This window comes from Homo sapiens, chromosome 1 (assembly GCF_000001405.40).
Source record: "Homo sapiens chromosome 1, GRCh38.p14 Primary Assembly".
NCBI lineage: Eukaryota > Metazoa > Chordata > Mammalia > Primates > Hominidae > Homo > Homo sapiens.
The window spans coordinates 202,404,149-202,420,491 of record NC_000001.11 but is presented as its reverse complement, the minus strand read 5'-3'; the positions used below and the strand labels follow the sequence as shown (position 1 = coordinate 202,420,491).

At 37.9% G+C, this 16,343-nt stretch overlaps 1 protein-coding gene and 1 pseudogene across 18 annotated transcripts in view, besides 1 other annotated feature; one reads left to right on the top strand and one right to left on the bottom strand.

The window, feature by feature from the left end:
- The window catches only part of PPP1R12B (protein phosphatase 1 regulatory subunit 12B), a 244,004-nt gene that overhangs the window by 172,211 nt on the left and 55,450 nt on the right, over positions 1-16,343 (bottom strand). For 17 of the 18 annotated variants that reach the window (XR_001737195.2, XR_007060689.1, XR_007060690.1 and 14 more), the window contains exon 2: positions 3,575-3,705. Coding sequence is in view for 10 of the 18 variants with exons in the window: in NM_001331029.2 (NP_001317958.1) it covers positions 3,575-3,705 (131 nt within the window). In the remaining 8 variants the exon portion in view is untranslated. Of the gene's footprint in view, positions 1-1,957; positions 2,004-3,089; positions 3,706-16,343 lie in introns of those variants that run through there. The other variant, XM_047421210.1, reaches the window with a different exon arrangement.
- Positions 302-865: an enhancer, noted in NCBI's record as "OCT4-NANOG hESC enhancer chr1:202388755-202389318 (GRCh37/hg19 assembly coordinates)". NCBI's record gives its function as "activates a minimal SCP1, AML or CMV promoter by ChIP-STARR-seq in primed H9 embryonic stem cells {active_cell/tissue: H9 hESC(primed)}" and the evidence as "EXISTENCE:reporter gene assay evidence [ECO:0000049][PMID:30033119]".
- RNU6-89P (RNA, U6 small nuclear 89, pseudogene) lies at positions 10,285-10,384 on the top strand (annotated as a pseudogene).

Below are 16,343 nucleotides of genomic sequence, written 5' to 3'. Positions count from 1 at the left end.
CACATCAACTCTCACCCAGCTCTCTTCCACAGCTTGTTTCTTCCAACTAGGTGGAACACTCTCCCTTCTATTTTCCCTTGTAGAAACCTTTCACTTCTTTCAAAGTTCATTTAAAATGCTTTTGCCTTCATGAAACCTTTGCCTGTTCTCACAAACTGAATTCCCTCTTTCCTTCCTTTAACCCCATACTCCCTCTTCTCCTCCCCAACAAACACTAATTCTAGACCTCAGTCATGACTTACACTGTACCTCGATGCAACCATTCCATCAGACTGAAAGCTACTTGAAGGCAATGTGAAAGGAAAATAAAAACTTGGGACCCTAATTTCACTATTCCAAAAGAAAAAAAATTAAGCTGAAAGCTGAGTCATGCAAGAAGCTGCCTTACCTTTTGTTCCTAAGCAGATAGCTATAGATAAAAAGTTAAATATCTCCACAGGTTCTATGTTTACCTCTATGTTCACATTATCTTATGTAAAGTGAGATTTACTGAGCGTGAGATGAACATTTAATTGACTATTCCCCTACTTGCTCCTTTTCTCTGGCAACATGTGAATTCAGGAATGTGACCATGCTGCTTTTCCCTTTTAAGTATTGATCTCAACTTGATCTCTGGGGAAAGGCACAGATCTGTTTCCTGGGTGCGCATCTTTAACCTTGGTAAAATAAACTTTTAAATTGATTGAGACCTGCCTCAGATAGTTTTTGGTTAATAGCAACAACTGGGTCTTCCTCATTACTATCATCGCCATGACATCTGACACTTGCTTTTTCCTCTTGGTATTCCATAAATATTGCTTGAATTACATGAAATATCTTAACCACTCTACTCTGACATCTATTCCATCCCTACTGGATCAGGCATAATGTCACTTGGGTATACAGGACCCTGCTTTTCCCATGTTCTACAATCAAGAAGACGAATTTTTAGAAAGTAATTTGGCTCTCTGTTTTTCCATTTTCTCCAGTTCTAGGAAAAAAAAAAGTTAAAAACCTCTTTAGTTTTACTTTTACCTGGACAAGAATAAATATCAACCTATGAAGTAATTTCTACTTTATCTCTGAGAATCCTTACAGTTGCCCAAAGGCTCACAAACAGCCACTAGCTCAATAAATATGCCCCTAGAAAATAAGGCCTTCTTGTCCTTCCTAACTCAACACCAATACAAGGTCTTTATGCTACTATCCTAAGGGAGGAAGAAAGAAAATGAAATACGTTCAAAAACTGAGAATAAATTAGCAACTCAATAAACTATAAAGCCAAATGATGTATGTTTGGGTCAATCTGCTGCTTCTAAGTGAAACATTTATTCATAAAAAAAATGTAAAAACACCCAGCTAACTAGCATTGAGCCTGAACTCATTTTAAAATGAGGAAAAAAGCCTCTGAAGCTCCCTGCTTTTGATGCAACATACTGAGACAAAAAGATCACCATGAAACATGAAATAGAATGTACTTGGATTCTTCCTAGAAAGCCAGTTTGCCTTTACTCATTTCTACTCCCTTGAAATTTAGAGTTCCTAGTGATTCTGGGAATAAGAGCATAAAGTCTAAGATCTTTAAGATACAAAAATAAAAATGACGAGATCATCACGGACTGATCTTATTTACAACATTCTCCATTGGCCCTGAGGTAAAGCAACCGAAATGAACAGTACAAACAATGTTTTTTTTTCCATTGCATATTAAAAAAAATGCTACATACTGCAAATAAATAGATGACAGTAAAGTCAAAACCTGTCTAATAATGATATGTATAGTGAAAAATAAAATAAAGAAGGCCATCTCACCGCCACCCCACCTCTGCAATGGATTCTGGTCTAGATCACCTCTCTACTGGTCAGACTTCCAAGTTTAATTTATAATAGTCTGTCTTAGGAAACAGTAGCTCTCACAGATTTATTTCATTCAAGGTAATATTTGTTTGAGCTAGAGATTGTTATATTGTGAACTTACTTCCAGAAGAATTATATTTGTTCATAAAGACGAATTAAAGAAATCACTGTAAAAAAAAAAAAGCAATTATAATCATTCTCTGTATTTAGCTTCACACACAGGAGGATAATGCCAGCACAAGTGATCCTAATTCTAAGCATGAGCTCTCCTTAGAAAAGTGAAAGAAAAAACTTAGGAAAAAATTGAATCCTTGAATGTAATGAGATTTGGTAGCTCAAATATCATAAGCATGCCACCTGAACAAATAGCAATTGAAAGGCCAACATGTTCTATAAATGTTTCTTAAATAAATGTTTTAAGTAAAATCACCTCAACTCTTAGGCATCAGAATTCTGATGTTACTGGATAAGACTAAGAATAAGAGCCCTCCTTCCTGTTAGACTCTGAAAATAGGCAGCCTAGGGGATGAAGAGGTTACTGACTTTTACTAAATTGGAACAGAGGGAGGAATCAAGAGTGAAGAAAACTGCATTGTTTATTTCTGTTGGCTTTGGGGCCAACCCAGTCATCCACTTTTTAGAACAAGCAGCCCAGTCAAACACCAGTGCTGCTGCCTAAAGTTTCTCTGGCTCTGACTCTCCCTTTGTTTAACTTCTCCCACTGAGCATCCCTGGGTCAGCAGCAAACCTAGCAACTCAGGCTCTCCCTTAGGAAACCTGGGCAAATCAGATTCTGTGGGAAGTCATTCTCAGGCCTCTACACAGCTGCCAACAAAATTCTCCCTGCTGTTTCCTGGACAGGAGAAATGTAATGGAGCTCTAATCATATTATTGAAAAGGGCCTTCACACAAGCAATCTGATTTTCAAAGGAGCATAGAATATCATGATTTTATTTAGGAAATTTACCTTAACAATATAAATTTACCCTCATCTAGGATACACTCAACTGCCTCATTTTAAAGATGTTTCGACTGCCATTTCAAAGATGTTTCCTTGTTTAAAAATAAACTCCCCAATCATTCCTTCACACAACAGATATTTATTCAGTGCCTCTTATATCTCAGGTACCACATGGTCAGGATTCTTCTGCCCACGGGAGGGGCAACTAGTTGTCCTGGAGATTAGTAGCTCCTAATGTATCTTATTAAATATTCCCATTCAACTAATGTGGAGAACACATGCCAGTGCCCACCTTTCCTTTGTTCCACATGTTTAGGCTCATTCTTCTGCGATTAACTACACGAGTGCTGTGACTGGTATGCTAGGCATTTTTTATCTTCATTTGTACTAAGCACTGATTTTTTTAAAAAAACAGTGAAATAGGTTTACAAAGAATCCAGAAAAACATCTCCAGGCCTGCCTGTATACGTGCCCAGCTACAGTTGTTCAGAAAGTGAACCCAGACAGTGGAACAGCCACCTCTGCATATCCCAGCAAATATAAATTACCTGAAAATAGAAGCAAACAAAAAGAGTTTCAACTAAAAAACTATGGATTTAGCAACTTTACAAAACATTGTATTAGTTATGGCTTAAAGATAATTCAACTTTCTGCTTTTGTAATCTGTAATAAAGAGAGATTATAACTATTTATAAAATTCAAATTCCTAAGAATAGAGGAGAAATGAAGGCTATTCCTACAAATACTACAAAGCCACACACACAGAGACTCACTCACTCTGCTATGTTGAGATAGCCACAGGAAGCTGCTGCATGAAGGGGTGTCCAGCCCTCGTTGTCTTGCTGGTTTACATTGGCTCTGTTCTCCACCAGAAACTTCACCATGTCCAAATTTTCATCAATACATGCCTGAAAAGAAAAGTCCATTCATTCATTCAACAAGTATTCATTGAGTTCCACTATGTGCCAGACACTGCTCTGGGCACTGACAATGCCCAGCAGTTCTAATAATACATTAATTTCTATTTCTTCCATACTGTGTCCAGAGCATGACTTCTAGGCTTTGTGATCTTATGCAAGCGCTTAAATGTCTCCATGCCTTAATATCTAAACTGTGAAACACAGTTTCATGTATAATCATACTTAATCTTTTTTTTTTTTTTTTTTTTTAGACAGAGTTTCACTCTTTTTGCCCAGGCTGGAGTGCAATGGCATGATCTCAGCTCACCGCAACCTCTGCCTCCCAGGTTCAAGCGATTCTCCTGCCTCAGCCTCCCTAGTAGCTGGGATTACAGGAATGTGCCACCACACCTGGCTCATTTTGTATTTTTAGTAGAGATGGGGTTTCTCCATGTTGGTCAGGCTTGTCTCGAACTCCCGACCTCAGGTCATCCACCCACCTCAGCCTCCCAAAGTGCTGGGATTACAGGCGTGAGCCACCGCACCCGGCTTATGACACTTAAATCTTATTTATAGTATTATTAGGATTAATTGTGAAAGCGATTTCTAAAGTGCTACAAATGAATAAGCTGTTTCATCATTATATTATAAAAAGGAAAGTATGTTACAAAACACTGATTTGTATATGAATTTTATTTTATTTCACTGCCACCTATTTGTCGCAGATGCTTATTAATTTTAAAAGAAAATAATCAGAGGATCGCCTGAAGCCAGGAGTTTGAGACCAGCCTGGGTAACATAGTGAGACCCTGTCTCTATTATTAAAAAAATTCATTCCTTCATTCATTTAAAAAAGAAAAAATCACACAGGATCAAATACAGTTTTTCTCAGTGGGAAGTTGTAGTTTACGACTCTAGAATTGCTAAACAAACACTGCTTTGGTGAGAAAGGGTAGGGTGATCATTTCAAACAGAAAAAATGTATTTTCATGTATTTTCTGAATGGCTTCAAACACTATGGCAAAGTATGCTTGCAGTTATGGATGGTTAGGGAGTCTCATCTGCTCATTTCATGGCAGCAATTAGGAGAAAGCAGAAGCTTTCTGAATAAAGGCTTTAGGCTTACCATAAGACAAACAGAAACAGTCACAAACAGCAATGAGATCTAAAAAAACCAAAAGATCTTGACATAGCTACAGAATAAAAATGTGGTAGAAGGCCCACATGTGAAAATGATAACCATTACCAAGGCTTGGATGGTTACAAAACCATTGGGATAATTCAGGACCAAGAAACAAATGAGACTCCCTTTTTAAAACTTGCCTTTTAATCCCCTCCTTTAAAAAACAAGGCTAAAACTTCAGCTCAGGAAGAATTATCCAAATCAAAGGATTTTCATAATAATATTAAGATATTACTTGCATTTTCATTGTATTGACATTTACACTAATGATGCAAAAGCAATGGTGAGTAAAACCGCTGGTGCCTTAACATGAAGCAAGACAATGGCATCAAAAACTACCAGCAGGCACTATATTCTTCCTCACCACATACAGTTAAAAAAATAAAAAAGAAAGCCAGTTTCACTTAAGAATAACCTTGAAGAAGTAGTAGAAATGTTTTTTTTAATATTCTGTGTGAGAAAATGGAAAGTATACATAAAGCACTTCTGCTGCATTTTGAGGTATGATGGTTGATTCTAGGAAAAAGCACCTCGGGCCAGGCATGGTAACTTATGCCTGTAATCCCAACACTTTGAGAGGCTGAGGTGGTAGGATTGCTTGAGCCCAGGAGTTCAAGACCAGCCTGAGCAACACAGACCCCATCTCTGCAAAAAAATTAAAAATTAGCTAGGCATGGTGGCACGCACGTGTAGTCCCAGCTACTTGGGAGGCTAAGGTGGGAGGATGGCTTAAGCCTGGGAGGTCGAGGCTGCAGTGAGCTGTGATCACTGCTCTCCAGCCTGAGTGACAGGGCAAGACCATGTCTCGAAAACAAAAACAAAAATAAAAATAAAAACACACCACTTGTGCATCTGCTTCAGGTGTGAGATGAACTAGCCACTTTTTAAAATCAAAATAACACCACTTTTATTCAAAAGAATAACCAACAAATTATGATTATTCGGACTTGAAAATGAACAAAGTAAGCCTGTCACTCAGAGAAAATAATCAGTATGTGTTGCAATAAAATGTGACCATCCAAGTGAAAATAAGAATTCTGGAAACAGCTACCACCATGAGCTTGACAGCATCCCAGTATTCACTTTTCTGATAAGATCTGTTTGACTATCAACAAATCTGATTTGTTGATATTATATAATGAAATGTATTTAGATTTGTAAGATCTCTGTAACTCAATCAACCTATATTTTCCAAATAAACAAATGCATAGTGTTAGAAAATCACACATGAAGTAAAAGATTCATTCAAAGTACAAGTTAGACTAATGCGTTTTAATGTAACAGAGTAAGAAAAGTCCATTGACATGGTTTCAGTTTCCACACTGCATGAACATTTAAGAAACTCATGTCTTAAACTACCATTTCTAAAACTTACATTTAAGAAACTATCAGGTCGGGTATGGTGGCTCATGCCTGTAATCCCAGCACTTTGGGAGGCCAAGGCAGGTGGATCACCTGAGGTCAGGAGTTTGAGACCAGCCTAGCCAACATGGTGAAACCTCATCTCTACTAAAAATACAAAAACTAGGCAGGTATGGTGGTGCACACCTGTAATCTCAGGTACTCAGGAGGCTGAGGAACAAGAATCGCTTGAACCCAGGAGGCAGACGTTGCAGTGAGCCAGGATGGCACCACTGCACTCCAGCCTGGGCCACAGAGACTGTGTCTCAAAAAAAAAAGGAAACGAACCATCACTTGTTGGAGTTTGGTATAATATCCAAGAAAAACATCTACAATTGTCTGAACAGACTATTAAAATGCTCCTCCCTTTTCCAAATATATACCTTTGAGAGGCCAGATTTTATATACTTTCATCAAAATAATATATCACAGCAGATTGAATACAGACATTAAAATAAATTTGTAAAAATGTAAAACAATATCACTATTTTTAATTAAAATATGTAATTTATATTAACATGTAAGCAGGGTCATTGTTGCTTTAAATGACTTAATAAGTACATATTTAATAACTACATATTTTAAAAATTTCTTAGTAACGTATAATAATCAATACAAACAAAGTCCTGGTTAAATTTTGGGAGTCCTAAATGATTTCTTAAGTATAAAGGAATCCTGAGATCAGTTTGATAACCACTGTTTTAATCAAGCATACCAAAAGATATTTCATGGTTATAATGAACAACTATTTAAATGGCAAAAGATTACTGTGGAAAGAATTAAAGTTAGAACTCTAGAGGGCCCTTGTAACTACAGGACTTAAGTAGTACATATCACACCAAGAGAACTTACAGGAATTCCCTTCAGAGATAAACCTCATATCAATCCTGCCTAGAAGGGGATGAATGAAAAAAGGGTGATTTCATTTAGACGAAAATTTAACTAGATAACTTGGTTACAAACAGCATCTTTGTTATTTTTTCCCAAAATATTTGATACTTCTTTTACAGTTACTGAGATTAGCTAAAACTGTCAATCTAGGTTTGATTTGATGCTATATAATATATTCCTCCAATCTGACCTTCTGGCCAATCTGACTTTTATAGCCAGTATTCATAATGGTCTAGTTTTCAACAGCAGCTCCAGAAATTATATTTCTTCTATGATGTTTTCTTAGGTTTATCAACTTCCACAAGTATATCCCATTCTTTACCATGTAAAATGTTTCATAATTATTCATCATATTTACAAATAGTTCATAAGTATGCTTATCACTAAATTGGTCATATATTGTATGTCTGCCCATTTGCAATCCCATATGGCAAGGTCTAGCCAACTTATCACAGAGTATCTCACTAAAAACTGTAAATCAACATTTTTATTTTATTTATTTTTCTTTTTTGTAAATAAACGTTTTTAAGTAAAAAAATGGAAGGGGACACTTTCAAAAAGGTACTGAAGTCCAATAAGAAAAAAGAATTTTAAAGGTTGTGCTAAAAACACTCTTTGCCCTTAGTAATACTCCTATATCAAGAAGGTCAAATGTGCCGTCTAAACCTGTGTAGGCCAGGACAGCTGGGTCAATTGCTTCTTCCTGAGTTGCAAAATTTCTTTGGCTCTGAAAGAACAATCTAAAAACTTAGCTCTAATGTCCACACTACTATCAAGCAGACTTTTAGAAGCCAATGTTTTCAAGATCATTCTTTGGCCTTTAAAGACAACAGCAGCCACATTCCAGAGGCCCTAAAATAAGCCCAGCTAGTCCAGGTATCAAACGGGAGAAAACTTGTCTTTTCTCTTTCCTCCCCTCTTACTTCTCCTCTCCTTTTCTTAATCTCCTTCACCTCATCACTACTTCAGTTCTCTTCTTTTAAATTTTGTGATATTGTGTCTTATAAATCCCAAATCCTTGATATAAAAAACATTTTTGAGACAGGGTCTTGCTCTGTTGCCAGGGCTGGTCATTAACTCTTGGGCTCAAAAAGCCTCTGTCTCAGCCTTCCAAGTAGCTGGGACTACAGCTACATGCCACTACAGCCAGTTTGATACAAAATTTTACGGGAATGACACTGTAAGGAAGTTTGACAGAACAACAAGAACAACAAAACTAGCCTAATCTAAAAATGTAATTTGGCGATCATCAATCTGTGAAGAACCATCTTACAGAAAATAAAGGAGGCCAACTGTCTAAATCATTCCCCATACCCTCCACAAAGTGAAGGATGGTATGTTGTTTAAAACAGTTTTGGCTAGGCATGGTGGCTCACACCTGTAGTCCCAGCACTTTGAGAGGCCGAGGTGGGAGGATCGCTTGAGTACAGGAGAACCTGTGCAACACAGTGAGACCCCATCTCTATTTGTAAAATAAATAAAAGCACCAGCTTTGGAGTCAGACAGACCAGGGCTTGCAAACCAGCTCTGCTGATGTGTACAACCTAGAGTGGGGTATCTAACTTAACTATAAGCATATGTACTCATCTATAGCATTGGGAGTACCACCTACCTCATAAGGTTTTGTAAAGATTAAAGGAGATAAGCCCTTGGAATTGTTCCTGACTTTGTTGTTGTTAAGGCAACAGTGTAACACACAGCAACTGCCTCAAGGGGAAAAAAAAAAAACAAAAAGTACTTAGTCCTCAATGATCACAGCCCTCCCCTCCCACCCCCAGTACCTTATAGGAGGAAAGAAGTTTGGTTAAAAATGTCTTTGAACTAGCAAGATTCTGGAGCTTGTTTGTAAGTCTAACTGCAGAAAATTCCCTCTCTAATGTTCAGAATTCCATGGATTCTTAAATTCAGGAGCTATATGAATAAAATAGTATGCACCCAGTTAAGGTGGAAGAGAATCATTCTTGTAGGTAAGACCAATCAACAGAGTTGTAGGACACTCTCATGAAGCACCTTGGAGTGACTGTTTTCTTGCTTTTTTTTTTTTTTTTTTGCCTCCAGAAGAAGGAATATGACTAAAGCATGGATGAGAGACTAAAGCATGGATGAGAGACATATAGTCCCTGAAAATCTTCTCAAGTGAATAACGACTAAATTTAGATGCCCTTCTGCCCACTCCATCGGCAGCTGTGCTGCTGACTCATTCACGACTGAAGCATGGTAGATGAGCAGATTCGCCCACTTATAAAACTGTTTCCAGGGACATGAACTTCAACACCATACCTCTACACAGAGCTATGCTAAACCTTCCAGAGAGATAGGTCTTTCCTTTTCTTGGGAAGCAGGCTAAACAAGCTTTTGATGTCACTCATGATAATGGGGAAATTCTTTGCATTTGGCCCAGATTCCTTCTGATGCAGTTTAAGTCCATTTCCTCCTATTTTGCATTCCTGAAGACACATCGAATTTTACTAAAGTAACAACGTGTTCTAAGCTCCTTAAGAAATAGAGATATAACTTAATTACTAGTATGAAGGAACTATTTAGAAAAACTGCCAGGTAATAAATTAAAGTTTCCCAACATCAGCATGTCACATTTGTCTGGCAATGATAATCTCCAAGGAAAAATACTTGATTTTACCAATAATCTGGGGAAAGAGCACTGTGATCTCACTACTGTACCTGATACTGCTCTCTCCATATCAAAGGCAAAAGTGGCTGATATCAATCAGTGCCAGGGTTAAATCTGGCAGTGCAGAGAAGGCCTCATAAAACAAAGCCTCCTCGGTTCCCAAAATAGCCTGCAACTGTTGCCACCAGCAAGTGCCAGCTTTCAGAGCTGACCTTGCTGTTGTGTCTCAGAATATCACTAATACTACCTGCCTTGGCCTCAGAACAACTCTCTTCCCCATAAAACCCAGCTCCAGGTGTCTGGGCATATGTTAGAAGCTGGGCTTAGTGCAGCCTAACACCTACTTGTTTGGATTTTTCAGCCCACGCTTTCCTTGATTTCAACAAATCATGTGGACAAAATTGTTGAGAGTATATCAAGAAACACTACCAAAAGAGTAAAAAGGCAGTCCATAGAGTGGGAGAAAATACTTGCAAATCAATGCTTACTTCAGCAGTACATATACTAAAATTGGAACAATACAGAGATTGGCATGGCCCCTACATAAGGATGACAAGCAAATTCATGAAGCATTCCATATTTTTTATAAGCAAAAATATATGTACATAATAAAGTTTTTAAATTTGCACATCATATATCTGTATGGGATTAATATCCAGAGTATATCGAGAACTCCTAAAACTCAACAACAAAAAATAAACAACCTGATTCAAAAATGGGCAAAAAAGATTTGAATGGACATGTATCCAAAGATATACAAATGGCCAATAAGCATATGAAAAAATGCTCAATGTCACTAATCATTAGGGAAATGAAAATCAAAACTACAATGAGATAGCACCTCATACCTATTAGGATGACTATTATCAAAAAAACAAAATAGGCCTGTAGTCCCAGTTATTTGGGAGGCTGAGGAGGGAGGATCGCTTGAGCCCAGGTGATCAAGGCTGCAGTGAGCTATGATAGCACCACTGCCCTCAAGCGTGGGCAACACACAAGACCCATCTCTAAAAATAAATAATGAAATATAAAAATAAAATTTTAGCATGCAAGGAAATATTTTAAAAGTGTTGGCTGGGCGTTGTGGGTCACACCTGTAATCTCAGCACTTTGGGAGGCTGAGGTGGGTGGATCACGAGATCAGGAGATTGAGACCATCCTGGCCAACATGGTGAAACCCTGTCTCTACTAAAATACAAAAAATTAGCTGGGCGTGGTGGCGCGTGCCTGTAGTCCCAGCTACTTGGGAGGCTGAGGCAGGGGAATTGCTTGAACCCAGGAGGTGGAGGTTGCAGTGAGCCGAGATCATGCCACTGCTCTCCAGCCTGGTGACAGAGCAAGACTCCATCTCAAAAAAAAAAAAAAGTGTTGGCAAGGAATTAAAATCCTTGTGCACTGCTCAGGGGAATGTAAAATGGTATAGCCTCTATGGAAAACAGTATGGAAGTTCCTCAAAAAATTAAAAATAGAATTACCATTTCTATTTTCTATTCAAAAATAGGATTTTGAATATATATCCAGAAGAATTCTGGGTATAAACTCAAAATAATTGATGCTGGTCGTAATGGCTCATGCCTGTAATTCTAGCACTTTGGTAGGCTGAGGCGAGTGAACTGCCTGAGCTCAGGAGTTCAAGACCAGCCTGGGCAACATGGCGAAACCTTGTCTCTACTAAAAATACAAAAAATTAGCTGGGTGTGGTGGCATGCGCCTGTAATCCCAGCTACTTAGGAGGCTGAGGCATAAGAATTGCTTGAGCCTGGGAGGTGGAGGTTCCAGTGAGCAGAGACTGTAGTCCAGCCTGGGGGACAGAATGAAACCCTGTCTCAAAAAAAAAAAAAAAAAAAAGAAAGAAATAATAATAATTGAAAGCAGGGTCTCTCAAAGAGATATGTGTACACCCATGTTCACAGCAGCCTTATGCACAATAGCTACAATGTGGAAGCAATTGAAGAGCCCATTGATGGCTGAATGGATAAGTAAAATATGGTATATACATGCAATGTATATATACCAGAGGGAGTGTGATCCTGATAACACCTTGATTTTAAACTTCTGGACTCCAGAACTGTGGGAGAATGATTGAATAATTTTGTTTTAGGCCACCAAGTTTGTGTTAATTTGTTACAGAAGCCACAGGAAACTAATAAACTTGCCATAGAATAGCGAATCAGAATCAGAACCTAGAGAGTCTGCCATATCCTCAATCCTTACTAGTAACTGAAAATCACAGCTGTAACTGATCCCTTCTTTGACAGATGAAAAGTGATCAATAAATTTATAATATGACTTTTTAAAAGACAACTACATTAAATAGAAAGTTTTAGAAACTGTTTAACTAATCTCTGGCTCAAATAGCAAAACCCTGAAAGAACTAATCATGGTTCTCACATGAGGCATTTTACTGAAGGTATTCTGGCTGAGGACTGAAACTGGGATAGAAATACTAATTGATGAGGTCCCTGTGAAACCCAACATTTCTAAGCTCAAAGTCCCCTTGCCCCAACTAGACGGCCAAGAAATCATATGCCAAGAAATTATACAGCTGTCCCTCAGTATCCATGGGGAACTGGTTGCAAGACCCCCTGCAGATACCAAAATCCACTGAGGGTCAAGTTCCTTAAATAAAATGGTATAATATTTGCATATAACCTATGCACATCCTTCCAGATACTTTAAATCATCTCTAGATTATTTAAAATGCCTAAAACAATGTAAATACTATGTAAATAGTCATTATTCTATACTGTTTTTATTTGTATTATTTTTATTAATATTAAATTTTTATTTTTTATTTTTCCCAAATATTTTCAATCTGCAGTTGGTTGACTCCATGGATGCAGAACCCATGGATATGGAGAGCCAGTAGTACAAATAAATTAAAGGTGATAAAGGACTCAGTAAATCTGGCAATCTCCACCATCAGGAGATCGTCACTACAGGAAGGCTTTAACCTATCAGTAGTTAAGATTGACTGATCCAGAGCTTGAGTCAATCCTTCCAAGTAGCTGTCTCTTCACTCCAATCATGATATAGTATAACTACTGCTTAAGTGGAAATCATCACAGCAGTCTGCTCCAACATGACAGGTGACACCAGCAACTGTCTGCCCTGTGTGAAAGACTCATAACCCCACTGGCAGAGACAGTTTGGCTCTCAGATGGTGAGAACTATATCTGATTATGTACTCAGTGGTCAGGCAGGCTCTGGACACAGATCTGTACCCTTTCAAGAGAGACAGCCGAGAGAGCAGAAGTAAAGAATTTTCCATGAAGTGTCATACTGATTAAGATTTTGTTCTCAGTAAACTGGCATATTACCTCAAGACTGCAAATGTTTACAGGCTGGGACCAGAGAACATCTCCCTTCAATTAAGAGCAAGTATCATATTGCCTAAGGGTTAACAGTACTTAAATTTCAAAAATGTGTTCAATTTGGATTCTAATAAGCCCTTCGCTTCAAATAATGTTTCCCTCAATCTTCTCTATTCCCCATGCTTTTATTCACCTAAAAGAAGAAAAACTCATTCAGCTGTCTTACAACTTGGCAACTTTTGCACTATGGTTATACACGTCTGATCTCTTATCATCAAATCATGTTTTTTGAAAGTTGAGGAGAAAGAAGATGAAGAGCTCAGAAAATGAAATCTGCATTTTCTCAAAGCTCATGAGTCATCTTCAAACAGAAGTTGTATGTTCCAGTCTCCAAATCTCTACTTTGTTACTCACTGATAATTCTAATTTTGAGGAACAATAAATGTGGCCTACTAATTGTGATAAAAATCCCAAGTATGACTTTCTTTCAGCTCAAAGGTGAGATAGCTGAGTAACTCTGACACTTGAATATAAGAAAGTCCTATTGAAATTGGCTTCTTACAAATTCTGTACATAAGAGCTGAGACACACTAAGTAATGGAATGATACACCTTTACAGACTTGATCAAAGACATTCCTTAGAAAAAGTCTATTATAACAAAACAGTAAAGGAAAAAAAGAATACGGAAACTAGAGTGATAAGCATTAGGACTTTCCATGTTACAGATGAAGAAACTCAGCCTTGGAAAAGTTAAATGATTCTTATTTAAGGTCATATATTCAGTCACAGAACCACCTAAATGCTTTCTACCTACCACTTTAGAGGTGTCCGAAATAGAGTTCATGGCCAGGGTCAAGAAACTACTTGGTTCATGGAACATTTTCAATGCTTAATACCATCTCCCTAAAAATAGCTTTATTTTAGTATATACAGTGTAAACTGATATTAGTCTACTCCAATAATTTTATATAAGGAATGTGGCCAATTGGTCAATTTGAGTTGGTTACTCCTAACTAGACTAAATGCAAAACACAAAGATCTCATTAAAGTGCTTTGGTTACCACTCTGTTTATTAGCATGAGTCTGGATTAGAAACCTCCTTCCTCTCTTGGCTACCTGTCTTAATCACAGCCCCCCAGTGGTCTACCCTGCTGCCAAGTTGGCATGTAGAGTAAATTGTTGTCCCATGGAGAGGGATTTTTCTATTTAACTCCAGATCACTCTGTGCCCATAAACAAGTGTTTCACAAGACACAAGAGCACAGCCTGAAAGCTATGGCATGGGCAATGCTTCATAGCTGTCAAGTAAGCCTGGGGAAAAGAAGGAAGACAATCCTGGGATCTGAGTTGAGTAAGGAGTGAATGCCACAAAGAAATTACAGGCAGTTTAAATCTGCAGAAAGTATAAATCAGCACACCAAATATTATCCGTAAAAGGAGATATTAAATAAAAGGTTATTATTTTCCCAGCATATTTTCATCAAGCGTTTTATATAGTCAAAGCTAATAATATATTATTAGTCCATAACACTTATTGTCATGTCCTCCCACAGGTAGAGTACTACATGGTAGAAGACACGAGAGAAAGCAGTTATATAACCCTAAGCAGTACAGCATACAGTTAAGAGCACAGACTATGAAATAAGACTTCCTGAGTTCAAATCCCAGGTCTACTGGTTAAGTAGTTTTGTGTTCTTGGGACGAGTTATTTCTGTCTGCTTCAGGTTCCTCATCTGTTAAATTATCATACCAATCATAAGAACTACTTCATGGAGTTACAATTAGGATTAAATGAGCTAATGTACATAAAAACACTTCAAGCCTGGCACACAGTTAAATGTTACGTGTTAGCTGCTATTATTATATTACCCTTGTATTATCTCCAGAGTTAACAAGGGACCCTCCTTTCTACACAAGAGCAAAAATGATATACTTAAACATAAATATAGTTCTATATAAGTAATGTTATACTTAAATATGAATATAAGCTCTATGTAAGTTCCTGTACATGTAAACAGATCACAGTCAGGTTTCATTCATAAGAGATAAAAGTTAATTTAAGTTAGGATTAGAGGAAAGGAAAAACAATGGGCCAGGGCTCCTATAGCTGACTTCTATAGCTGGTAAAGGAAGTTGAGGGGCTTTAGACTGCGTTTTACCATAACAGAGTCACGGGCTGCTGAGGGTCCATCAAGTCTAATTGTTAGCACAAGCAGAAAATCTAAGAAGATAAAGTTCTGATCTGACACTGACTCACATTACCAAAGAACAGGTTAAGAATTTGTCTCAGTAATCAGTGTTCCCTGACTGTAATGTGCATTTCCATTTATTCATGTAACAAATATTACTAAGGCCTGTACTATACCAGACATGGTCCTCAGGTGGAGATGTAGTAATAAAAAATGATTAAGACTTTATCATTTAGTGGTGGAAAGAGACATGTAAATGATACAATGCAACAGAAATAATCTCTAATATAAAATGAGAGCTAAGTACAAAGTGTTATAGTGCAGAGTAAGAAGTTGCTAACTTGGTCGAGGGGCTACAGGAAAAACCTCCCAGTATAAACATTATTTGGGCTGGGTGCGGTGGCTCACGCCTGTAATCCCAGCACTCCGGGAGGCCAAGGTGGGCGGATCATGAGGTCAGGAGATCAAGACCATCCTGGCTAACACAGTGAAACCCCGTCTCTACTAAAAAAATACAAAAAATTAGCCAGGCGTGGTGGCACACGCCTGCAGTCCCAGCTACTCAGGAGGCTGAGGCAGGAGAACCGCTTGAAGCTGGAAGGTGGAGCTGCAGTGAGCCAAGACACGCCACTGCACTCCAGCCTGGGCAATAGAGTGAGACTCCATCTCAAAAAAATTATAATAAAAATTTAAAAAATAAAAATAAAAAATTATTTACCTGAGTTATAAAGAAGAAAGAGAACACTGAAACAGCAGCGATGAAGAGAATCTGAAGCAAAGAGAATAACATAGGCAAAGGTCTGGAGGAAACAGAAAATGTCCATTTTTTGGAATAGTGAGAATTCTATGCATGCATAGACTAAAAAGGGGGTGGGGGCATGCATAGAAATTTAAGTAGGGCTTCATTTGCCATACTGAGAAATTGGAACTTTACCCTACAGGCTAGTGGAAAATAGAAGGAATTGTGGCTGGTAGGATACGTTGACAGCCATGAAGGTCCCTATATTCCATCCATGATAAAGAGTCTCACCTTTATCCTG